The sequence below is a fragment of the Homo sapiens genome, chromosome 7, assembly GCF_000001405.40.
Source record: "Homo sapiens chromosome 7, GRCh38.p14 Primary Assembly".
NCBI lineage: Eukaryota > Metazoa > Chordata > Mammalia > Primates > Hominidae > Homo > Homo sapiens.
In genome coordinates, this window is record NC_000007.14 from 5,592,432 (window position 1) to 5,614,019 (window position 21,588).

The window sequence follows — 21,588 nt, forward strand, 5'->3', positions numbered from 1 at the left end:
CCTCAGACCCCCACCTTCGCCCAGTACCGATCTGCACCGTGGTCTCTGAAGTCTCCATCGTGACCTCAAACCTCGCTCGTCCTTGCTCCTAGCGAGGCTTGGGGTCGGGGTGTCCGAGGTGGGGGACATCCGGGGGGGTTAGGTGGCTGGCGCGGGGAGCCGGGGTTGTGAGGGGTGATGTCCTCAGGCGGCGGCGCTGCGGGGTGCGGCGAGGACACCGGTGGGGTGAGAGCACCGGCGGGGCAGCAGCGGGGGCCGCAGCGCCGGGTCCCTCGGCCCGGGGCCCCTCCCGCGCGGAGCCAGGGGCGGGACAGGGGGGCGTGGCCTGGTGGCGCTGACGTCACCTCGCCTATAAAATGTCCGGGGCGCCGCTAGCTGGGCTTTGTGGAGCGCTGCGGAGGGTGCGTGCGGGCCGCGGCAGCCGAACAAAGGAGCAGGGGCGCCGCCGCAGGGACCCGCCACCCACCTCCCGGGGCCGCGCAGCGGCCTCTCGTCTACTGCCACCATGACCGCCAACGGCACAGCCGAGGCGGTGCAGATCCAGTTCGGCCTCATCAACTGCGGCAACAAGTACCTGACGGCCGAGGCGTTCGGGTTCAAGGTGAACGCGTCCGCCAGCAGCCTGAAGAAGAAGCAGATCTGGACGCTGGAGCAGCCCCCTGACGAGGCGGGCAGCGCGGCCGTGTGCCTGCGCAGCCACCTGGGCCGCTACCTGGCGGCGGACAAGGACGGCAACGTGACCTGCGAGCGCGAGGTGCCCGGTCCCGACTGCCGTTTCCTCATCGTGGCGCACGACGACGGTCGCTGGTCGCTGCAGTCCGAGGCGCACCGGCGCTACTTCGGCGGCACCGAGGACCGCCTGTCCTGCTTCGCGCAGACGGTGTCCCCCGCCGAGAAGTGGAGCGTGCACATCGCCATGCACCCTCAGGTCAACATCTACAGCGTCACCCGTAAGCGCTACGCGCACCTGAGCGCGCGGCCGGCCGACGAGATCGCCGTGGACCGCGACGTGCCCTGGGGCGTCGACTCGCTCATCACCCTCGCCTTCCAGGACCAGCGCTACAGCGTGCAGACCGCCGACCACCGCTTCCTGCGCCACGACGGGCGCCTGGTGGCGCGCCCCGAGCCGGCCACTGGCTACACGCTGGAGTTCCGCTCCGGCAAGGTGGCCTTCCGCGACTGCGAGGGCCGTTACCTGGCGCCGTCGGGGCCCAGCGGCACGCTCAAGGCGGGCAAGGCCACCAAGGTGGGCAAGGACGAGCTCTTTGCTCTGGAGCAGAGCTGCGCCCAGGTCGTGCTGCAGGCGGCCAACGAGAGGAACGTGTCCACGCGCCAGGGTGAGTGGGGACGCTGCCCCCGCCTCTCCTGGTCCGTGCACAAAGCGCACCCCACCCGCGCCCCTCCAGCCTCCCGCCCTTTCTCGCTCGCGGCGCCGCTGCGGTCCGGAGCACTGCCCATTGCGCCCCCGCTAGGCACGCGGGCTACCCCGCCTGGAGGGGGCGAGGAGTGGGGCTTTGCCCATCCTCGGGTGCCGCTGCCCACCTCCCACCCCGGGCTGGGATCATGGGCTCCCCTAGGCCCCGCGGAGTCGCAACCGTACGTGCACCCTCCTAACCCCCCCCCCCGCCCAATCTTGGCTCTCCCCACGCGCGCTGATCCCTCGGATCAGCTGTCCCAGCTCTTGCGGAGTGGGAGCCCCTCACCCATTTCCTCGTGCCCCTCCCCCCGCCGGCTGTCCTGGAGCTCGGGGGTCCGAGGCAAGGGTCGCCACCCGCAAGGGCGCGCCTCCACCCCCACCGGCAGCCTTTCGCGGGCGAGATGGGGGAGGTTAGCCAGGCCTTTGATCCCGGCGGGGCGCGCCTCCACCTCCCCGTCTGCCCGGCCTTCCTCCACCTCCTCCCGCTGCCGGGCGGGGTCGGCCTCCGCTGGTGGGGGGGGGCGCGGGGTGTCAGCCCTTCCCCCCAGCCCCTCCTCCCGCGTCTGCCCCGCGCTCGAGGCCGCGGCCTTTGTGAGCAGGGGGGCGGGTCGCCTCGACTGGGTCCTCCCTCGCCCCCTTTGTCCTGCTCCATCTCTGCAGATGGGAAAACCAGATGCGGCGGGGCGGGGGAGGGGATCGGCTTTTGCGGTTCACCCCTGCAGAGGAGCCCCCCGCGCCGCCCCCGGGCCCAGGGCTCGGGTCCCGAGGTTCCCCAGGAGGCGGTCTCCCTCCTCGCGCCGCGGCCCGGGAACGGCGTGGCGCGGATGGCGGCCCTCCAGGCACCCCGCCCTTCGCCCGCCGCGCGCGTCTCCAGGCCGGTGCGCTGAGCTCCGCTCCGCGGGCGACCGAGGGCGGCTTCAGCGCGAGCCGGGAGACCCCAGGCCAGCTCCCTCGGGAAGCCCCTACCCTCTGGTGAACCCATCCCCTAGGGCGCTCGCCGGGAACAATTGACTGCAACTCGATCCGTCCCCTCCGGGGCCTCCTGCAGGCACGGCTATTTGCGACCGGCCTGTGCGCCACTCTTTCCCTTCTTTCTCAGATTCTCCCCGAGGGGCTTTCTCTTCCTTTTGGCGTCCTCTTCCACTCCTGGCGGAGAAGCTGTTCCTTGCTTGCAGACAGAGGCCCCGCTGGAGGGAGGGGCGTGGGGGGATCTTTTTCCCTGGATAGGAAGTCGGACCCCAGGCCTTGGAGATGGCTGGACGGGAGCCCAGTTTGTGTCCTCATCCCTCCTCTTGGAAGGAGCCCTCCTGACGGCCCCCCTCTTGGCTGTGGGCTCTGCAGGAGGGGGAAAGACCCCCCATGGCAGTGGGGGTGAGGGTGGAGGCCTGGGTGGGGTAATGGCCATTTTGTGCCTGAAGTTTGCTACCTTAAGTCCCAGAGAGGTGAAGCTGCTTGTCATGGGTCACACAGCAAGTGACCACAAGGAAGCAGCATGCAGAAGTGGGTGCATTTGGCTCCAGAAACCCCGTTTCCTGTTTCCCACAGCGCATGGCGGGCAGAGCTCCTCACCTGATCAGCAGGCATTGAGCCCTACTAAGGGGACCTGCTGAGCCATGAGTGAACCAGTGGGGTTCACGTTCTCTTGGGGACATTACGAAGTGTCAAGGAAAAGGCAGCGGGTACAGGTTATTAGATGGCTGAGTCCTTTCTGAGCAGGACATTTGAGCTGGCCTGAAGGATGAATAGAAGGTGGCAGGTATGGGGGGGGTGCTGTGTGGACCAGCGTTGTAGGCTGTGGGTGTCTCCTGTGCAAAGGTCTTATGGCAGGAAGGTACAGAGAAAGCCCAGTGTGGCTGGGAGGAAGCTTGTGAGGTCTGGGCCACGGGACCTTGGGTGAGAGCTTAGTGCAGGGCTATGGTCCTTGCCTTGGGGTTGCAGCCACAGCCTCCCGTGGGGAAGAAGTCGCAGAAGTAGGTGGCCTTGGCCCTGGGGGCCAGGAAGTTGCAGAGAGCCTGAGGGTGTTTTTGGCGAGCCTGGGCAGATAACTCCCCTCTCCTGAGAAGCTTGCTGGGGGCGTCTGGTGTGTGATTCAGGCTGATAGGGTGGGAGGAACCAGAAATTGCAGCCAGGAGAGGTGGTGGTGATGGCTCAGCTTGGAGTTGAAAGGGATGTGGGACGGCGCGGGGGTGGGGGTACTTGGGGGCCGAGGTTGGGGCTCCTCTGGCCTCAGATCTTGGGGTCCTTATCTCGTTTCTATGTCAGCCAACTCCCGGGGGGCTTTTGGGAACTGGAGTCTGCAGGGGTGGGCGTGGGGGGCGTGTCTGCAGAGGCCATTTTGGACGGGCCTGCGTGGCAAGGGGGAGGCGTCTGCTTCCGACACACATGCTGGGGAACGCCAGCCAGGAAGGGGAGGATCCGGACTTAGCTGGCAGGGGGGATGTGAATCATCTCTGCAGGCCTGCACGGGCGGGCCCGGTGGGGGCAGGGTGCTCCCCTTTGAAAAACGCTGCGCCCTGCTCTTCAGCCTCAGTTTCCCCATCTGTAAAGTGTGCATTCCAGGCCTCCTTGGGCTGGCCCAGAGCTGCCCTGGGCAGGGGCTTTCAGCCCTTCACACCAGAGGCTGGGTCAGCTGAGTGAGTGCTCCTTTGTCCTCCCGCCATGCCCCAGGCTCCTCCCTGCTCCCCAGGATCCACACCTACCCTGGCCCCGACCCTGGGCCATGCCTCACCACACTTCCTGTCTTCTCTCACATCTCTCACATCTGGGAGTCCTCTCCCGCCAGCCTGTGCTTGCATCTGGGGATCCATGCCAGGGATAGGACCTGTCCTCCCTGCTGGCTTGGGACATGCCCTCTCCCAGCCACTCTGAGGAGGGCTGACTGAGGAAGGGCTCGTCAAGCTGGGCTTTGCAGGATGTGTAAGAGTTCTCCCCACGAGGCGCAGGGCATTCTGAGCCCAGGGAATGGCTTGTATAAGGATGCAGAGGCATTTGAAATGGCCAAGTAGTTGCAGGAATCGACTGGAAACCGGGGTGGTAAGGTGAAGCCATAGAACATTCCAGGCCCCCTCCCCTAAATGAGATGGAAGGAGTGCCTGTTTTGAACAAGCCAGGGGCATCTGGGGACCGTTAAGGCCTGGGGGTGGTGATGGGGACTGGAGGGTGTGAGGCAACCAGGGGGTGCCCCTCTGAGCCACCACAGACAGAATGGTTCAGAAGGCCAGGCACACTGGCTCTCGCCTGTAATCCAAGCACTTTGGGAGGCCAAGGAGGGAAGATGGCTTCGGCCAAGGAGGGAAGATGGCTTCAGCCCAGGAGTTCAAGGCCAGCCTGGAAAACATGGCAAAACCTCTGTCTACAAAAAATACAAAAAATTAGCCAGGCATGGTGATGCACGCCTGTCGTCCCAGCTACTCAGGAGGCTTAGATGGGAGGATCACTTGAGCCGGGGAGTTTGAGGCTGCAGTGAGCCGAGATCGTGCCACTGCACTCCAGCCTGGGCAACAGAACGAGACCCTGTCTTAAAAAAATTTTTTTTGGCCTGGTGCGGTGGCTCACGCCTGTAATGCCAGCACTTTGGGAGTCCAAGGTGGGTGGATCACCTGGAGGTCGGGAGTTTGAGACCAGTCTGACCAACATGGAGAAACCCCATCTCTACTAAAAACACAAAAATTAGCCGGGCGTGGTGGCGCATGCCTGTAATCCCAGCTACTCTGGAGGCTGAGGCAGGAGAATCCCTTGAACCCGGGAGGCGGAAGTTGCAGTGAGCCGAGATCGCACCATTGCACTCCAGCCTGGGCAACAAGAGTGAAACTCCATCTCAAAAAACAAAACAAAACAAAAAAAACAACCAAAACAAACAAACAAAAAACTGTAATTAAAATAATTAAAAGAAAAAAGTTAAAAAAAAAAAAAAGAGAGGATGGCTCAAAGGCTGGAAACAGGGAAGGCCACTGTGAGGGGAGGACAGGCAGGGCTAGACCTCTCTGGAAGGAGGAGGGAGAGGTACCCGTGGGCCCGGCACAGGAGACTCTTAATCTCCTGGCTCCCGGGGGCTTCTGTGGGCCTGTGACTCAGGATTTCTGTGCCTCTGTTGATGAAAAGAAAAATCCTGAAGAAAACACTGTTCCCATAGTAACACAGCTCTAATTAGAGACTCCAAGGCCAAGCGAGGGCCTTGGAGCCAGGAGGGGCCCTGCTCTACTGGGGGGACGACACCCCTTTCCCCTATCCCTCCCTGCTGGGGTGTGGCCTGATGTCTACGTGGCACCAGGCCCCTAAATCCTTTCAACATCCTGGCGGAGCGGAGAGGCTGGGCCCTTTTGACAGGTGGGGAAACTGAGGAAGGTTGCAGGGAAGGCACTCATCCAAGGGTGCCTGGCCCCCCGCGGTGGGTGCCTCACTGGCTGGCCTAAACCTTTGCATCAAACCAGTTCCAGGATTGAACGCAACAGGCTGATGGGGACTGAGTCGTGGTACAGATGGCGGCAGTTGTGTGGCCCTGGGCCCAGGAATGGCTGGGAAGCTCCCTTTCTTCTCTGGCTTGGGGGATGAGGTTAGTGTAAATTTCATGGAGTTGCCAGGAGGATTAAGGCCGACGTGCATTCACACGTGGCCCCGTGGCTGCCGCCAGTTAAGCCCTGCGCAGCCATTGGAAGTCTCATTGAGAAGGAGCCTCCCGGCTTCCTGCATTTGTTCCAGGCGGGCTGGTAAGCGCCCTGCTTATTTGCAAGGCTGTGTGAGGACGAGCCCTGTAAACCCTAGGACGAGGCTGTGCTAATGTGGTTTCTGTTCCACTGTCTCCCCTTCTCCTTTTGCCCCTCTTTCTGGGGAACCTGGAGCCCCTGATGCCCTCTGTTTTTTCCTGCTGCTGGGGTGGACCTAGAACCTCTCCCTCCATCCTTTCTGCTGCTGGGGTGGGCCTGCAGGAGGCTGTCCTCTTACCTGGTCCCTAACTTCCCTCCGATCAGCGGGGCTTCAGCGGAGCCCCAGCGCATTGGACAGGTGGTGCTCTGTGGCCGGCACAGGCCAGGGCCCAGGGTGCGGCCCCTGCCTGTAGGTAGACATGCAGGCCCTTCTGAGCAGAATGAGGGGGCGGTGAGGGCAGCTGTGCGGGTGTGGCTGGCCTGACGGCTCCCTGCAGCCCTGCGGCTTCTGTGCAGTGGGGGTGGGGCGGGCCAGACCTTTGCAGGGCCTCTTGGCTGGTGGAGGGCTGAGTGAGCAGAGGCCCCAGCCCTCGTGTTCCCTGGGGTGTGGCCTTAGGATGGTCCCGGCACCCTGGGACCCAGCCCCTGCTCACCTTATCCTCCTCCCGTGCTTGGCTGGGGTGTGGTGGCTGAGCCAGCCCACCCAGTGCGGTGGATGCTCGTCGGAGGGCAGAGGGTGGGCTACCGGCTTAAGGGGCCCCAGGGAACCTGGGGGGTGGAGCCCAAGGGGTTCCAAGAAGGGGCGGGGCCAGGAACCCATAGACAAGAGGGTGGGGCAGGGAAAGGGCGTGGCAAGAGGGCCACCCACCTCCGGTCCAGAGAGCCAGCCAGACCCTTACTTTCTCTTGCTGTGTGACCTTAGGCAAGGACATGCCACCACCGGCCTTAGTCTCCCTCTTTGTGAAGTAGGATGAAGATCCCCACCTGTGGAGCAGATGTGGGGCTGCATGGTTGGGTCAGGATGGAACAGGATGGGGAGGCCGGGCGTGGTGGCTTACCCCTGTAATCCCAGCACTTTGGGAGGCAAAGGTGGGAGGACTGCTTGAGTCCTGGAGTTTGGGCAACATAGCGAGACCACCCCCATCTCTACAAAATAATGTTAAAGTTAGCCAGGTGTAGTGGTGAGTGCCTGTGGTCCCACCTACTGGGGAGACTGAGGCAAGAGGATCCTTTGAGCCCAGGAGGTGGAGGCTGTAGAGAGCCATGCTTGGGCCACTTGCACTCCAGCCTGGGCAACAGAGCAAGACCCTATCTCTAAAAAAAAAATGGAATTGAGGATGTGTCCTCTGGGTGTGGGCTCTACCACCCACCAGCCTCCCTCTCCTGTGGGTGCTGCCTGCCACCCACCGCTGAGGTCCCTGCAGCATCAAGGTGCCCAAACGAAGACACTCTCCAGCTCTGAGCCAGGCACCCATACAGAGCCCGGCAGACGCCTCTGCTGCTGCAGTTCTTAGAATCCAGAGCGCGTGGGGAATGTGAATTTGTGCTGCTGGAGCCAAACATCCCACCTCCAGGTTTTAGCTGGAGGAATCCATGTGGATATGCAAAGCAATGTAGTTATAATGAATAGCAATTGTGGGCTGGGCGCAGTGGCTCATACCTGTAATCCCAGCACTTTGGGAGGCTGAGGTGGGTGGATCACCTGAGGTCAGGAGTTTGAGACCGGCCTGGCCAACATAATGAAACTCCGTCTCTACTAAAAATACAAAAAAATTAGCCGGGCATAGTGGCGGGTGCCTGTAATCCCAGCTACTCAGGAGGCTGAGGCAGGAGAATCACTTGAACCCAGGAGGCAGAGGTTTCAGTGAGGCGAGATCGTGCCATTGCACTCCAGCCCGGGAGACACAGCGAGACTCTCTTTCTCAAAAAAAGAATAGCAGCTTTGCTATAGCTTAGGGGAGCAAAACCCGAAAGCCACCTTAAGTTTCCCGAAGATAGAGATCCCTGGGGTCCTATTCTGAGACAGAGTCTTGCTCTGTCGCCCAGGCTGGAGTGCAGTGGCGGATCTCAGCTCACTGCAGCCTCCGCCTCCTGGGTTCAAGCAATTCTCCTGCGTCAGCCTCCCGAGCAGCTGGGATTACAGGCGCCCGGCACCACCCCCAGCTAATTTTTTTTTTTTTGAGACAGAGTCTCGCATTGTCGCCCAGGCTGGAGTGCAGTGGCGCGATCTTGGCTCACTGCAAGCTCCACCTCCCGGGTTCACGCCATTCTCCTGCCTCAGCCTCCCGAGTAGCAGGGACTACAGGCGCCCGCCACCGTGCCCGGCTAATTTTTTTTTTTTGTATTATTAATAGAGACGGGTTTCACCGTGTTAGGATGATCTCGATCTCCTGACCTCGTGATCCGCCTGCCTCGGCCTCCCAAAGTGCTGGGATTACAGGCATGAGCCACCTTGCCTGGTCCTTTTTTTTGTATTTTTAGTAGAGATGAGGTTTCACCATGTTGGCCAGGCTGGTCTCAAACTCCTGACCTCATGATCCGCCCGCCTCGGCCTCCCAAAGTGCTGGGATTACAGGTGTGGGCCACTGTGCCCGGCCAGTCCCATTCTACTTTTTAGGGACATGGAATCATGTAAAGATGCCATACAGAAAACAGTATGCAAATCCAGAGACAGAGGACATCTGTGCATGTTTCTTTCTTTCTTCCTTTTTTTTTTTTTTTTTTTTTTTGAGATGGATTCTTGCTCTGTCGCCCAGGCTGGAGTGCAGTGGTGCAATCTCAGCTCACTGCAACCTCTGCCTCCCAGGTTCAAGTGATTCTCCTGCCTCAGACTTCCAAGTAGCTGGGATTACAGGCATGCCCCACCATGCCCAGCTAATTTTTGTATTTTTAGTAGAGGCGGGGTTTCACCATGTTGGCAAGGCTGGTCTTGAACTCATGACCTCAGGTGATCCACCCGCCTCAGCTTCCCAAAGTGCTGGGATTACAGGCGTGAGCCGCCGTGGCAACCCGCATGCTTCTTATGTATAAGAAAAAAACAGCTAGAAAGTTGTGGGTTCACTGGCTGGGCACATGGTGGCTTGTGTCTGTAACCTCAGCACTTTGGGAGGCTGAGTTAGGAGGATCATGTGAGGCCGGGAGTTCAAGACCATCCTAGGCAACATAGCCAGACCCTGTCTGTACCAAATAGAAAAAAAAATTAACTTGATGTGGTGGTGTGTGCCTGTAGTCTCAGCTATTTGGGAGGCTGAGGTGGGAGGATCACTTGAGCCCAGGAAGTCGAGGCTACAGTGAGCTATGATTGTGCCACTGCACTCCAACCTGGGCAACAGAGCAAGACCCTGAATCAAAAAGAAAGAGATGTATTTGCCAACACAGGGGTGTTCTGCAGTGGGGTGGGAAGGGGACGTGTAGGACTTCATAGTTTCCTTTTTTTTGTTTTAGAGACAGGGCTTAAAAAAAAATTTTTTTTTTTTTTTTGAGGCGGAATTTCATTCTTGTTGCCCAGGCTGGAGTGATCTCGGCTCACTGCCATCTCCGCCTCCCAGGTTGAAGTGATTCTCCTGCCTCAGCCTCAGGCAATTTTGTATTTTTAGTAGAGACGGGGTGACTCCATGTTGGTCAGGCTGGTCTCAAACTCCCGACCTCGGGTGATCTGCCTGCCTTGGCCTCCCAAACTGCTGGGATTACAGGTGTGAGCCACTGTGCCTGGCCCCTTTTTTTTTTTTTTAAGTAGGGTCTTGCTAAGTTGTCCAGGCTGGTCTTGAACTCCTGGTCTCAAATGATCCTCCTGACTTGGCCTCCCAAAAGGCTGGGATTGCAGGAGATATGAGCCACCGCACCCGGCCCTTTTATAAGTTTTCTAAAGGAAAGGAACATGTACCATCGTGTTTTATTTTAATTTTTACATAGAAGCAGGAACAATAGCATGAACCCCCAGACACGGCCCCCCAAGATGCGCTGTTCCGCTGTGCTGCAGCCCCATTTGTCCTTTTCTATACCATTTTTGGTTGTATTTGAAGCAAATCCCTGACATCAGGGCATTTCATCCCAAAATACTTCCATCTGTGTTTCTAAAAAAACGAGGCCATTTTCTTATGTAACCACAACGTGATCAACAGTAATCAATGCTTAACATCTAATTCTGGGCCACGTTAAGACCCTCCTGATTGGCTCAAGAATGTCTTTTGTGCAGTTGGTTTCTTGATTCTTTTTGTTTTTTTTGAGACAGGGTCTCACTGTGTCACCCAGGCTGGAGTGCAGTGGTGCAATCACGGCTCACTGCAGCCTCAGCCTCCTGCCTCAGCGATCCTCCTGCCTCAGCCTCCCAAGTAGCTGGGACCACAGGTTTGCACCACCACTCCCAGCTAATTAAAAAAAGTAATTTGTAGAGACGGGGGTGGGGTGGGGGTCTTGCTATGTTGCCCAGGCTGGTCTCAAACTCCTAGACTCAAACAATCCTCCTGCCTTGGCCTCCCAAAGTGTTGCGATCACAGGCATGAGCCCCTGTCCCTGGCCCCTATTATTTCTCTAACTGGGGAAAGTCATGTGGGAACAGATGTAGCTTGCCTTGGCCTCTGACCGGCCCTGCCTGCGTTCCTGGGTGCTCTCTGCTGCTTCTCATGTGTGCCACTGTGGGGACTCGGCCGCCCACCCCACCCCGTGGTGTTACCTTGCGTGTGTAGTTCTGTGAGCTCAGGGCTATGGTCTGCCAGAACTAGGGGGCGTGGGGCCCCAGTACCAGCCCAAGGCCTCCTCTCTGCAGGTATGGACCTGTCTGCCAATCAGGACGAGGAGACCGACCAGGAGACCTTCCAGCTGGAGATCGACCGCGACACCAAAAAGTGTGCCTTCCGTACCCACACGGGCAAGTACTGGACGCTGACGGCCACCGGGGGCGTGCAGTCCACCGCCTCCAGCAAGTGAGTGCCTCGCTCCCACCTGTCACCGCCCCCACCACCTTGCCTGGGCTACCCCGCCTGACCCTGTCCCGCCATCCCCCAGGAATGCCAGCTGCTACTTTGACATCGAGTGGCGTGACCGGCGCATCACACTGAGGGCGTCCAATGGCAAGTTTGTGACCTCCAAGAAGAATGGGCAGCTGGCCGCCTCGGTGGAGACAGCAGGTAACACTAAAGCCCCAGTTCCCTGGAGCCGTCCTGGAGTCCTGGAGGGTCTGGCCATGCCGTGGTCACTTGGTAGCCCCAGCCAAGGCCTGCTCTGTGCTGGGCATCCCCCCGGACTGGCCCCGCACTGTCCTACCCTGGGGACTGCTGTGTGACCCCAGCTCCTGGCCCTCCCTCTCTGGTCACCCCAGCCTCCACCCCACTCCCTGCCAGGAGGCTCACTGACTCCCCTCTTTCTGGGACAGGGGACTCAGAGCTCTTCCTCATGAAGCTCATCAACCGCCCCATCATCGTGTTCCGCGGGGAGCATGGCTTCATCGGCTGCCGCAAGGTCACGGGCACCCTGGACGCCAACCGCTCCAGCTATGACGTCTTCCAGCTGGAGTTCAACGATGGCGCCTACAACATCAAAGGCAGGTTCTCCTGTGGGCAGCTGCTGGGCAGGGAACCCCTCGGTCGGGGCTGGGGTCAGTGCTGCGGGGAGCGCCCTCTGCATCCACACTGGACCCTGGCTTGGCTCAGGGCCATTCCAGGCCCTAAAGGGACAGGTGTCTGATGGCCACCAGGGGCTCTGGGATGCAAGCAGCCCCTTTCCCTCTTGTCTGTGTGGTTGGGGGGACTTACCTTGCCCACCTGACAGAGAGGTGTGTGGAGGGGAGAGCAGGGAGGGGAAGGAGAGCAGGGAAGGGGAGGGAGGAGAGCAGGGGAGGGGAGAGCCGGGAAGGAGAGGAGAGCAGGGGTGGGGAGGTTCTGGAAAGGGTGTGCAGGGGAGGACGCGCCTCGGTTATGGGACTGGAGCCCCTTCCCAGGAGGACCCCCAACAATCCAGAGGTGCCTGTTAGGATTCAGAACATGGTTTTTTTGTTTGTTTTTTTGAGACTCACTCCCTCACCCTGGCTGGACTGCAGTGGCGTTATCTCGGCTCACTGCAACCTCTGCCTCCTGGGTTCAAGTGATTCTCCTGCCTCAGCCTCCCAAGTAGCTGGGATTACAGGTGTGCACCACCACGCCTGGCTAATTTTTATATTTTTAAAATTTATTATTTATTTATTTTGAGACCCAGTCTGGAGTGCAGTGGCGTTATCTCGGCTCTCTGCAACCTCTGCCTCCTGGGTTCAAGCGATTCTCCTGCCTCAGCCTCCCGAGTAGCTGGGACTATGTGTGGGAGCCACCATGCCTGGCTAATTTTTTTGTATTTTTCATAGAGACGGGTTTCACCATGTTGTCCAGGCTGGTCTTGAATTCGTGGCCTCAAGTGATCCGCCCACCTCAGCCTCCCACAGTGCTGGGTTTATAGGTGTGAGCCACCACACCCGGCTAATTGTTTTGTATTTTTAGTAGAGACGGAGCTTCACTATGTTGGCAAGGCTGGCTCGAACTCCTGACCTCAAGTGATCCGCCCACCTCAGCCTCCCAAAGTGCTGGGATTACAGGCGTGAGCCACTGCGGCCGAGCAGAACACGTTCTAGGACCCTTGTTCATGTGTCCATCATGGACAGGAGGACGTGCGGGCCATAGGGACCCTGGCTCATTCCGGAGCCGGGACTGGAGGGTGGGGCGTCACCCTTGGGAACACCCGTGCCCACCCTCCGCTGCCCAGGGTAGGGGTGGGGAGCCAGGCTTTGGGCCCCACTTGATAAAGTCCCCTCCCCAGACTCCACAGGCAAATACTGGACGGTGGGCAGTGACTCCGCGGTCACCAGCAGCGGCGACACTCCTGTGGACTTCTTCTTCGAGTTCTGCGACTATAACAAGGTGGCCATCAAGGTGGGCGGGCGCTACCTGAAGGGCGACCACGCAGGCGTCCTGAAGGCCTCGGCGGAAACCGTGGACCCCGCCTCGCTCTGGGAGTACTAGGGCCGGCCCGTCCTTCCCCGCCCCTGCCCACATGGCGGCTCCTGCCAACCCTCCCTGCTAACCCCTTCTCCGCCAGGTGGGCTCCAGGGCGGGAGGCAAGCCCCCTTGCCTTTCAAACTGGAAACCCCAGAGAAAACGGTGCCCCCACCTGTCGCCCCTATGGACTCCCCACTCTCCCCTCCGCCCGGGTTCCCTACTCCCCTCGGGTCAGCGGCTGCGGCCTGGCCCTGGGAGGGATTTCAGATGCCCCTGCCCTCTTGTCTGCCACGGGGCGAGTCTGGCACCTCTTTCTTCTGACCTCAGACGGCTCTGAGCCTTATTTCTCTGGAAGCGGCTAAGGGACGGTTGGGGGCTGGGAGCCCTGGGCGTGTAGTGTAACTGGAATCTTTTGCCTCTCCCAGCCACCTCCTCCCAGCCCCCCAGGAGAGCTGGGCACATGTCCCAAGCCTGTCAGTGGCCCTCCCTGGTGCACTGTCCCCGAAACCCCTGCTTGGGAAGGGAAGCTGTCGGGTGGGCTAGGACTGACCCTTGTGGTGTTTTTTTGGGTGGTGGCTGGAAACAGCCCCTCTCCCACGTGGCAGAGGCTCAGCCTGGCTCCCTTCCCTGGAGCGGCAGGGCGTGACGGCCACAGGGTCTGCCCGCTGCACGTTCTGCCAAGGTGGTGGTGGCGGGCGGGTAGGGGTGTGGGGGCCGTCTTCCTCCTGTCTCTTTCCTTTCACCCTAGCCTGACTGGAAGCAGAAAATGACCAAATCAGTATTTTTTTTAATGAAATATTATTGCTGGAGGCGTCCCAGGCAAGCCTGGCTGTAGTAGCGAGTGATCTGGCGGGGGGCGTCTCAGCACCCTCCCCAGGGGGTGCATCTCAGCCCCCTCTTTCCGTCCTTCCCGTCCAGCCCCAGCCCTGGGCCTGGGCTGCCGACACCTGGGCCAGAGCCCCTGCTGTGATTGGTGCTCCCTGGGCCTCCCGGGTGGATGAAGCCAGGCGTCGCCCCCTCCGGGAGCCCTGGGGTGAGCCGCCGGGGCCCCCCTGCTGCCAGCCTCCCCCGTCCCCAACATGCATCTCACTCTGGGTGTCTTGGTCTTTTATTTTTTGTAAGTGTCATTTGTATAACTCTAAACGCCCATGATAGTAGCTTCAAACTGGAAATAGCGAAATAAAATAACTCAGTCTGCAGCCCCAGGCCGGCCTGTGTGTGTCTTGGGGCTGAGGTGGGTGGGGGGGCTGAGGTGGGTGGGAGGGCTGGCGGGACAGGTAGGCGCCCTGGCTCCCCAGCTCAGTGCTGGGAGTGTGCAGTGGGAGGGAGGCCGTGGCTCCAGTGGGTGCTCCGGAGCTCGTGGGCCCAGCACACCTCCTTAAGCGGGGGATGGAGCGCTGGGAGGGGGTGGACTGTGGCCCATGCGACCCCCAGAGCCATTAGGAGGAGTTCTGTGGTGAGAAGTGGCTGTGGCTCCTCGTAGGCTACGTCCACCATGCGGGGGACCTCGGGGGTGTCTGGCGGTGGCACGCTGGATGTTGAGAAGGCGCAGCCCAGGGAACACTCAAACCAGGAGACCCCACATTATCCTCTAGTTGACATGTGCCCTTCGACTAGGGGACTTGGTGGTAGGGGCAGCTCCGCCCCCATACTGCGAGGATCCGGGCCTTCCACTTCCCCAGACACAGCAGGTTGGGGTGCCCCTGGGGCTGGGAGATGCTGCCCTGGGCCCCTCAGGGGGCGGCCGTGGTAGGATGGACCGGGCCGAGCGTGCAGACCCTGGGCAGGTCCCTACATCGGAACCAGCAGCCCTGGGGATATCTGGCATATCAGAGGCTGAGGACTGTTTCCAGACTTTACCAAGGCCACAGTCAGGGCGACCTGGGTTCTGAGCCTCCCTTTGCATCCTAGGCTGCAGGGACAGGGGCTGGGCAGAGGCTCGCGGACCTCGTGCAGCTTCATTCACTCCCAGGTGCCCCTAAGGATAGCAGCTGCGAGAAGACTGAGGGGAGGAGCAGTAAGGCGCAGCCTGGAGCGGAGGGACCTGGCGTCCAGTCATTGTGCGCTGGGAAGGCGGTGATGGCGACGGAATTTGGGACACGCGGGGCGTCCCGGGGGCAGCCAGGGCACTGCAGGCCGGAGCCCCCTGTTCCCCCGCATCCTCCCCGCCGTCGGCAGCAGAGCAAGCGCTGATTGGCTGCTGATGACGCAACTGGGAGGGCTGCGCTGTGATAGGTGGTCCCTCGGGGGCGTGGGGCGCAAGTCTTGAGATTGGCAGGGGCAGGTGGCTGCTGCAGAGGGAAGTCGGGGTCACCTCAGCGAGGTTCCGGCGGCCACCCCTCTCCCCTCCCCCATGAAAGCCAGGCTGGAAGCCAGAAAAATCCCAGTGACTGGAAGGGACAGATTAATCCTCCGGAACCAAACTCTTTGAGACCTGGGGAGGAGGGTGGGAGGCACTGGGAAGGGGGATTGGGGGGAGCCTGGCTCATTTCCACCCATGGAGCTGACCTAGAATGACCCTAAGGTCCCCGGAGCCACCAGCTGATTCCGAATTCCATTCATTCTGCAAAATTTGGCGCCTACCACGTGGCCGAGATTCCCGAGGCTGCAGCCAATGAGCAGCATAGTCCGATGGGGGAGGCTGGAAGGGCCGTTCACGAGATCTCTCGGGAGGAATCGGTAGGAGCTGCCCAACTGAAAGGGACGGGGGAATAACCCGGGGCGAGGGACCTGCCCAGGCCCTGCCCTCTGGGGGGAAGCCAGGCCAGGGGCCGGGGGCATCTCTGGGGTCCCAGGTGAGATGCGGGTCGAGGGAGCCAGGCCACGGTTCTCCAGACTCGCGTGGAGGCCACGAGCGTCTTCTGGAGGAGCGGGCACTGCGCGGACCGGCAGACTCTGGGGCGCTCAGGCTCCCCATCTCCTGACCTTTTCCTACCTTCAGTTCCCTCCTGTCAGGACAGGTTCTGGGGCTCGCCGGGGCAGGGAGCCAGGGCAGAGGGTGCAGTTTCCGCTCCTGCCTGAGTCACCTTCGCTTTCTCAGCGATTCTTCATTCACAAGGGCGTGGCCCATCACACGCACTCACACACTTGTGAACTTGCACGCACACACACATATGGACCTGTGCAAAGAGCCCCATGCACAGGCAGGTACACGTGCATGTAGGCGTGCACACAGACACGCACAGATGCAGGCAGACCAACTCCCAGGAATCTGTCTCCAGCCTACAGGGATTCAGCACTCAGGGTACCAGCCTCTGTCCCGTGCACCCCCATTCCCGGCAGTTCTCCCAGGTGGGTCGGGGGCCACTAGGGACCCCATACCCCGAGGGTGGCTCCTCCATTAAGCCTGCCATGGGGTTGGGAGTGAGAGTCCCACCTCCCACTTGAGAGTCCCCAGTGAGTCAAGGCAAGTGCAGCCAGGGCTCCAAGATCCTTGTTGGGATTCACTGTGATCCCCAAAGATCACGACTTAAGGGAAAACATTCAATTAAACTTGTTAGAGCAAAGAAAGGAGAGACTGGGCTGGGAGCAGTGGCTAACGCCTATATAGTTCAGCTACTCAGGAGGCCCAGGTGTGAGGATTGCTTGAGTCCAGGAGGCTGAGGCTGCAGTGAGCTATGATGGCACCACCCACTGCACTCCAGCCTGGGTGACAAAGCAAGACCCTGTCTCAAAAAAAAAAAAAAAAAAAAAAAAAAAGGAAAAAGAGGCCGGGCACAGTGGCTCACACCTGTAATCTACTAAAAATAAGAAAATTAGCCAGACATGGTGGTGGGTGCCTGTAATCTCAGCTACTTGGGAGGCTGGGGCAGGAGAATCGCTTGAACCCAGGAGGCGGAGGTTGTGTGAGCCGAGATTACACCACTGCACTCCAGCCTGGGCGACAGAGTGAGACTCTGTCTCCAAATAATAATAATAATAATAATAAAATAAAAAGAAAAAAGAAAGAAAGAAAGGAGAGACTGAGCTATATTGCCCAGTCCAGGCATGTGGGCAGTCTGGGGGACAGTGGGGCATACTCGGTGTCTCAGGGTCCCAGCCCTGGGTGCCCCCACTGCTGTCTGCTGTGACCTCCTCAGGAGGCCTCATTGGGAGGGACCCTGAGTCCTGCGGGGGGCTGTGGAGCTGTCACCAGCCCCAGGAGGACTCAGGCAAGTCCCTCTGGTGGTCGAGGCCTCTGAGCTTCCCAGTGTGTCTCCACGGGACACCCCCCCTCCAGACCTTCTGCCCCAGCTCAGCCTCTTCCAATTCATTATCAGGGGGTGGGGGAGGGGACAGGAAGCCCCAGACCCAGCTGGGCCCCATTTCCTCCAGGGCCACAGTGGCCTCTCCCACAGTCACGAGGATGGGGGCTGATCTCACTCTTTTTTTTTTTTGAGACGGACTCTCACTCTGTCGCTTTTTTTTTTTTTTTTTTTTTTTGAGACGGAGTCTCACTCTCGCCCAGGCTGGAGCGCAGTGGCGTGATCTCGGCTCACTGCAATCTCCACCTCCCACGTTCAAGCGATTCTCCTGCCTCAGCCTCCTGAGTAGCTGGGACTACAGGTACGTGCCACCACACCTAACTAATTTTTGTATTTTTTAGTAGAGATGGGGCTTCACCATATTAGCCTCCCAAAGTGCTGGGATTACAGGCATGAGCCACCATGCCCGGCCTTGACTTCACTCTTTTAAAAAAGTCAAATACTTGGTGCTTGAAATCCCAGCACTTTGGGAGGCTGAGGCAGGAGAACTGCTTGAGCTCAGGAGTTTGAGACCAGCCTGGGCAACATGGTGAGACTCCTGTCTCTGTAAAAACTACGAAAATTAGTCAGGCATGGTGGTGCGTGTCTGTCGTCCCAGCTGCTCAGGAGGCTGAGGTGGGAGGATGGTTTGATCCTGGAAGGTTGAGACTGCAGTGAGCTGTGATTCCACCACTGCAGTCCAGCCTGGGCCGCAGAGCAAGACTCTCTCTCAAAAATAAATAAAATAAAATAAAAAGTCTAAAACTTTTCTTTCAAACGACGGCTTTTGGGGCTCATAAGGTGCGTGAAGATGGAAAGGGGGCCCGGCAGTGCCCATTTCGGCTCCCTTGGGACCCCGGCTTCCCTGAAGACCCCTGAGCAATGGTTGGCTGGGTGCCTGGTCTCCCTGAACGGGCTGTGGGCAACAAGGTTGTCTGGATGGGGGAGGGGCTCTGAGACCCTTGGGGGCAGCAGAGGGAGAAGGGAACAGATGGGGTCTCCCAGGCAGAGAGGCCTGGAGGGGTGGGGCGGGGCAGGGCATTTGGCGTGAAACCCAAGCCCCTTAACGGGGCCCTAGCTTAAACCGGGAGGAGGGGCCTCTGTGATGTGCAAATAATTAACACAGAAGCCTTCACTGTGCTCCCCTCCTCATCCCAGGACCCAGGTCTGACCCTCAGGAGGGGAGGAGGTGAGCAAGGGGGGAACCCACCTTCCAGGGAACCCCCAGATAGTGCCAGGCACCAGGCAAGTGCTCTAAAAGGCTTTACTAATATTATTTGAAGAAACTAAGCTAATAAATAAATACGGTATAAAATCAAAGGGTACCCACAGATATAAACAAAAATCCACAGCTAACCCGGCCCCAGCCCTCTTTCCTTTGGAGGTAACTGTGTTAATGGTTTTTTACACCCCTCTGGAATTTTTTTTTTTTTTTTTTTTTTTTTTTTTTTTTTGGGAAGGAGTCTGGCTCTGTCGCCCATGCAGCGCAGTAGCGTGATCTCGGCTCACTGCAACTTCCACATCCCGGGTTAAAACGATTCTCCTGCCTCAACCGCCTGAGTAGCTGGGACTACAGGGGCGCACCACCATGCCCGGCTAATTTTTTTTTTTTTTTTTTTTTTTTTTGAGCTGGAGTCTTGCTCTGTCGCCCAGGCGGGAGTGCAGTGGCGCAATCTCGGCTCACTTGCAAGCTCTGCCTCCCGGGTTCACGCCATTCTCCTGCCTCAGCCTCCTGAGTGGGTGGGACTACAGGCTCCAGCCACCACGCCCGGCTAATTTTTTGTATTTATTTTTTAATAGAGATGGGGTTTCACTGTGTTCGCCAGGATGGTCTCGATCTCCCTTTTTTTTTTTTTTTTTTTAGACGGAGTCTCGCTCTGTCGCCCAGGCTGGAGTGCAGTGGCATGATCGTGACTCACTGCAAACTCCACCTCCCGGGTTCACGCCATTCTCCCGCCTCAGCCTCCCGAGTAGCTGGGACTACAGGCGCCCACCACCACACCCGGCTATTTTTTTGTATTTTTAGTAGAGACAGGGGTTTCACCATGTTAGCCAGGATGGTCTCGATCTCCTGACCTTGTGATCCTCCTGCCTCGGCCTCCCGAAGTGCTGGGATTACAGGCGTGAGCCACCGCGCCCGGCCTCTTGTTTTTTTTTTTTTTTTTTTTTATAGACTTCTAAGGAAAGCAACACTAAGAAAATATATTTTTAAGAAATTATTCAGCCAGGCGTGGTGGCTCACGCCTGTAATCCCAACACTTTGGGAGGCTGAGGCGGGTGGATCACTTGAGGCCAGGAGTTTGAGACCAGCCTGGCTCACATGGTGAAACCCTGACTCTACTAAAAATACAAAAAATTAGCCGGGCACAGTGGCATGCTCCTGCAATGCCAGCTACTTGGGAGGCTGAGGCAGGAGAATCCCTTGAACTGGGGAGGCAGAGGTTTCAGTGAACCAAGATCGAGCCACTGCACTCCAGCGTGGGTGACAGACTGAAACTGTGTCTCAAAAAAAAATTTTTGTTTTTGGAGATGGGGTCTTGCTCTGTCACCCAGGCTGGAGTACAATGGGGTGATCTAGGCTCACTGCAACCTCAAACTCCTGGGCTCAGGTGATCTTCCTGCCTCAGCCCCTGGAGTAACTGGCACTACAGGTGCATGTCAGAACACCTGGCTAGTTTTTAACTTTTTTGTGTGTAGACAGGGTCTTGATATGTTGCCCAGGCTGGTCTCCATCACCTTCTGGGCTCAGTGATCCTCCTGCTTCAGCCTCCCAAAATGCTGGGATTACAGGTGTGAGCCACCATGCCCGACCCTGAGGGATACCTTAATGTTTATTTCTCACATTTCTTCTAGAACAAACATTGCCAGCGCATCCCAGACTCTGAACTGTGGCTGGGGACTGCAGCATGGAGGTCTTTGCAGGCACTCTGGGAAACATGCCACAAGCAGGGTATTAACCCAAGACAGTCAGTCCCTCCAATGAGAAAAAGGAGCCGAGGGACTGTGCATGCCTCAGAGCCAGATGCAGCAGAACTGGTGGGTTGAGGGGGCACTGAGCGCCTGGTGCCTCCTGCTGCCCCCCACCAGCTCCGACAGTCCTCGTCCTTGTCCTCCCCATCAGAAGGGAAGAGTGAATTGTCTGTGGGATGTGCCAGTGTCCCCGGTTCTGAGGTTGGGCAGGCTGGGGAGCCCCAGACATGGCTTGCTGCCCACTGTGGAGCCTCCTGGACTTAGTTCCAGGCTCTGCCCGATCCTCTGAGGGTGTGGCTTCAAAGCCCTGCTTGGGCCTAAGGCCATCCCAGGGCAGTGACTGAGGGTAGACTGAGATGTCCCTTGGGCACCAGTCCTAGGGTACCTGGGCTGGGGGTCTTCAGCTCAGGCCCCCTAGTGCCCGTCCTTTGGGCTGTGGGCAGGTTTCCACAGCACTGGCCCTTTCTGACCTTACACCCCTGTGCATCCTCACTGGGGCTCTGTGAAGGTGAAAGTCACACTAAGGACTGTGCCTATGGTGGCCAGGGCACCCCACCGGCAGCACACCTCAGAGGCCTCATCCTAGGCGCTGCTCACTTTTTTTTCTTTTTTTTCCTTTTTTTTTTTTTTTTTTTTTTCCGAGACAGAGTCTTGCTCTGTCACCTAGGCTGGAGTGCAGTGGCATGATCTCGGCTCACTGCGACCTCCTCCTCCTCCTGGGTTTAAGCAATTCTCTTGCCTCAGCCTCCTGAGTAGCTGGCATTACAGGTGCCCGCCACCACGCCCGGCTATTTTTGTAGTTTTAGTAGAGACGGGGTTTCACCATGTTGGCCAGGCTGGTCTCAAACTCCTGACCTTGTGCTCTGCCCGCCTTGGCCTCCCAAACTGCTGGGATTACAGGCGTGAGCCACTGTGCGTGGCCCTGCTCATTTTCTTACCACAGCTTTCCAGAAATAAAGTTAGGATGGAAAGAGAGAGAGAGAGATTGAGAGAGAGAGAGAGCACCACATTCAGATAGAGACAGGAGAGTTCTCAGCAAGAAGAGAACTCAGCTCAGAGTTGAGAATGTCTCAACTCAGCTGTCTCCCTGCTGAGACGTCCTGGGCTGAAGTGTCCCCTCACCCCTGCGGGGCTGTGACTGCACACTGCACACATGGGTCACAGCAGGGCTTGGCGTTTGGAGCAGGCCGGGTTGGTGGCTTGTCCTCATCTCTTGCCTGGAGCTGTGCTGGCCTGTGGTTTGCTTTGGCTGCTACCATGTGGAGGGAGAGGTGCTTGTGTCCATGCCTGGCCTCTTGGAAGGCCACCACTGTGATGGAGAGAGGAAGGCCACCACTGTGATGGAGAGAAGCCGGGGCCAGACCGATGAGGGCTGA

At 58.8% G+C, this 21,588-nt stretch overlaps 1 protein-coding gene across 1 annotated transcript, besides 11 other annotated features; it reads left to right on the plus strand.

Annotated features, from left to right (window-relative positions):
• Window positions 94-653: a silencer, noted in NCBI's record as "silent region_17925". NCBI's record gives its function as "represses an Ori minimal core promoter by ATAC-STARR-seq in GM12878 lymphoblastoid cells {active_cell/tissue: GM12878}" and the evidence as "EXISTENCE:reporter gene assay evidence [ECO:0000049][PMID:35858748]".
• On the plus strand, window positions 385-14,224 carry FSCN1 (fascin actin-bundling protein 1). Its single transcript, NM_003088.4, has 5 exons — window positions 385-1,337; window positions 10,826-10,982; window positions 11,065-11,186; window positions 11,432-11,599; window positions 12,841-14,224. Exons 1-5 carry the CDS (start codon window positions 506-508, stop codon window positions 13,041-13,043), a joined length of 1,482 nt encoding a protein of 493 aa, NP_003079.1. The 5' UTR covers window positions 385-505; the 3' UTR covers window positions 13,044-14,224.
• Window positions 1,364-1,443: a silencer, noted in NCBI's record as "silent region_17926". NCBI's record gives its function as "represses an Ori minimal core promoter by ATAC-STARR-seq in GM12878 lymphoblastoid cells {active_cell/tissue: GM12878}" and the evidence as "EXISTENCE:reporter gene assay evidence [ECO:0000049][PMID:35858748]".
• Window positions 1,555-2,130: an enhancer, noted in NCBI's record as "H3K27ac hESC enhancer chr7:5633617-5634192 (GRCh37/hg19 assembly coordinates)". NCBI's record gives its function as "activates a minimal SCP1, AML or CMV promoter by ChIP-STARR-seq in naive H9 embryonic stem cells {active_cell/tissue: H9 hESC(naive)}" and the evidence as "EXISTENCE:reporter gene assay evidence [ECO:0000049][PMID:30033119]".
• Window positions 1,904-1,993: a silencer, noted in NCBI's record as "silent region_17927". NCBI's record gives its function as "represses an Ori minimal core promoter by ATAC-STARR-seq in GM12878 lymphoblastoid cells {active_cell/tissue: GM12878}" and the evidence as "EXISTENCE:reporter gene assay evidence [ECO:0000049][PMID:35858748]".
• Window positions 2,174-2,333: a silencer, noted in NCBI's record as "silent region_17928". NCBI's record gives its function as "represses an Ori minimal core promoter by ATAC-STARR-seq in GM12878 lymphoblastoid cells {active_cell/tissue: GM12878}" and the evidence as "EXISTENCE:reporter gene assay evidence [ECO:0000049][PMID:35858748]".
• Window positions 2,708-3,283: an enhancer, noted in NCBI's record as "H3K27ac hESC enhancer chr7:5634770-5635345 (GRCh37/hg19 assembly coordinates)". NCBI's record gives its function as "activates a minimal SCP1, AML or CMV promoter by ChIP-STARR-seq in naive H9 embryonic stem cells {active_cell/tissue: H9 hESC(naive)}" and the evidence as "EXISTENCE:reporter gene assay evidence [ECO:0000049][PMID:30033119]".
• Window positions 4,903-5,118: a silencer, noted in NCBI's record as "fragment chr7:5636965-5637180 (GRCh37/hg19 assembly coordinates)". NCBI's record gives its function as "represses an EF-1alpha promoter that drives an FKBP-Casp9 reporter gene in an ReSE screen in K562 erythroleukemia cells {active_cell/tissue: K562}" and the evidence as "EXISTENCE:reporter gene assay evidence [ECO:0000049][PMID:32094911]".
• Window positions 10,328-11,181: an enhancer, noted in NCBI's record as "H3K4me1 hESC enhancer chr7:5642390-5643243 (GRCh37/hg19 assembly coordinates)". NCBI's record gives its function as "activates a minimal SCP1, AML or CMV promoter by ChIP-STARR-seq in naive H9 embryonic stem cells {active_cell/tissue: H9 hESC(naive)}" and the evidence as "EXISTENCE:reporter gene assay evidence [ECO:0000049][PMID:30033119]".
• Window positions 11,182-12,034: an enhancer, noted in NCBI's record as "H3K4me1 hESC enhancer chr7:5643244-5644096 (GRCh37/hg19 assembly coordinates)". NCBI's record gives its function as "activates a minimal SCP1, AML or CMV promoter by ChIP-STARR-seq in primed H9 embryonic stem cells {active_cell/tissue: H9 hESC(primed)}" and the evidence as "EXISTENCE:reporter gene assay evidence [ECO:0000049][PMID:30033119]".
• Window positions 15,147-15,441: an enhancer, noted in NCBI's record as "tiled region #1133; HepG2 Activating non-DNase unmatched - State 18:Pol2, and K562 Activating non-DNase unmatched - State 14:Gen5'". NCBI's record gives its function as "activates a minimal TATA promoter and a strong SV40 promoter by Sharpr-MPRA in HepG2 and K562 cells {active_cell/tissue: HepG2 | K562}" and the evidence as "EXISTENCE:reporter gene assay evidence [ECO:0000049][PMID:27701403]".
• Window positions 16,017-16,570: an enhancer, noted in NCBI's record as "H3K4me1 hESC enhancer chr7:5648079-5648632 (GRCh37/hg19 assembly coordinates)". NCBI's record gives its function as "activates a minimal SCP1, AML or CMV promoter by ChIP-STARR-seq in naive H9 embryonic stem cells {active_cell/tissue: H9 hESC(naive)}" and the evidence as "EXISTENCE:reporter gene assay evidence [ECO:0000049][PMID:30033119]".

Coding starts and splice junctions, on each gene's coding strand:
- FSCN1 (NM_003088.4), top strand. CDS start 506: ATGACCGCCAACGGCACAGCCGAGGCGGTGCAGATCCAGTTCGGCCTC. Junction 10,983..11,064: donor CAGTCCACCGCCTCCAGCAA/GTGAGTGCCTCG, acceptor GCCATCCCCCAG/GAATGCCAGCTGCTACTTTG. Junction 11,187..11,431: donor CGCCTCGGTGGAGACAGCAG/GTAACACTAAAG, acceptor TTTCTGGGACAG/GGGACTCAGAGCTCTTCCTC.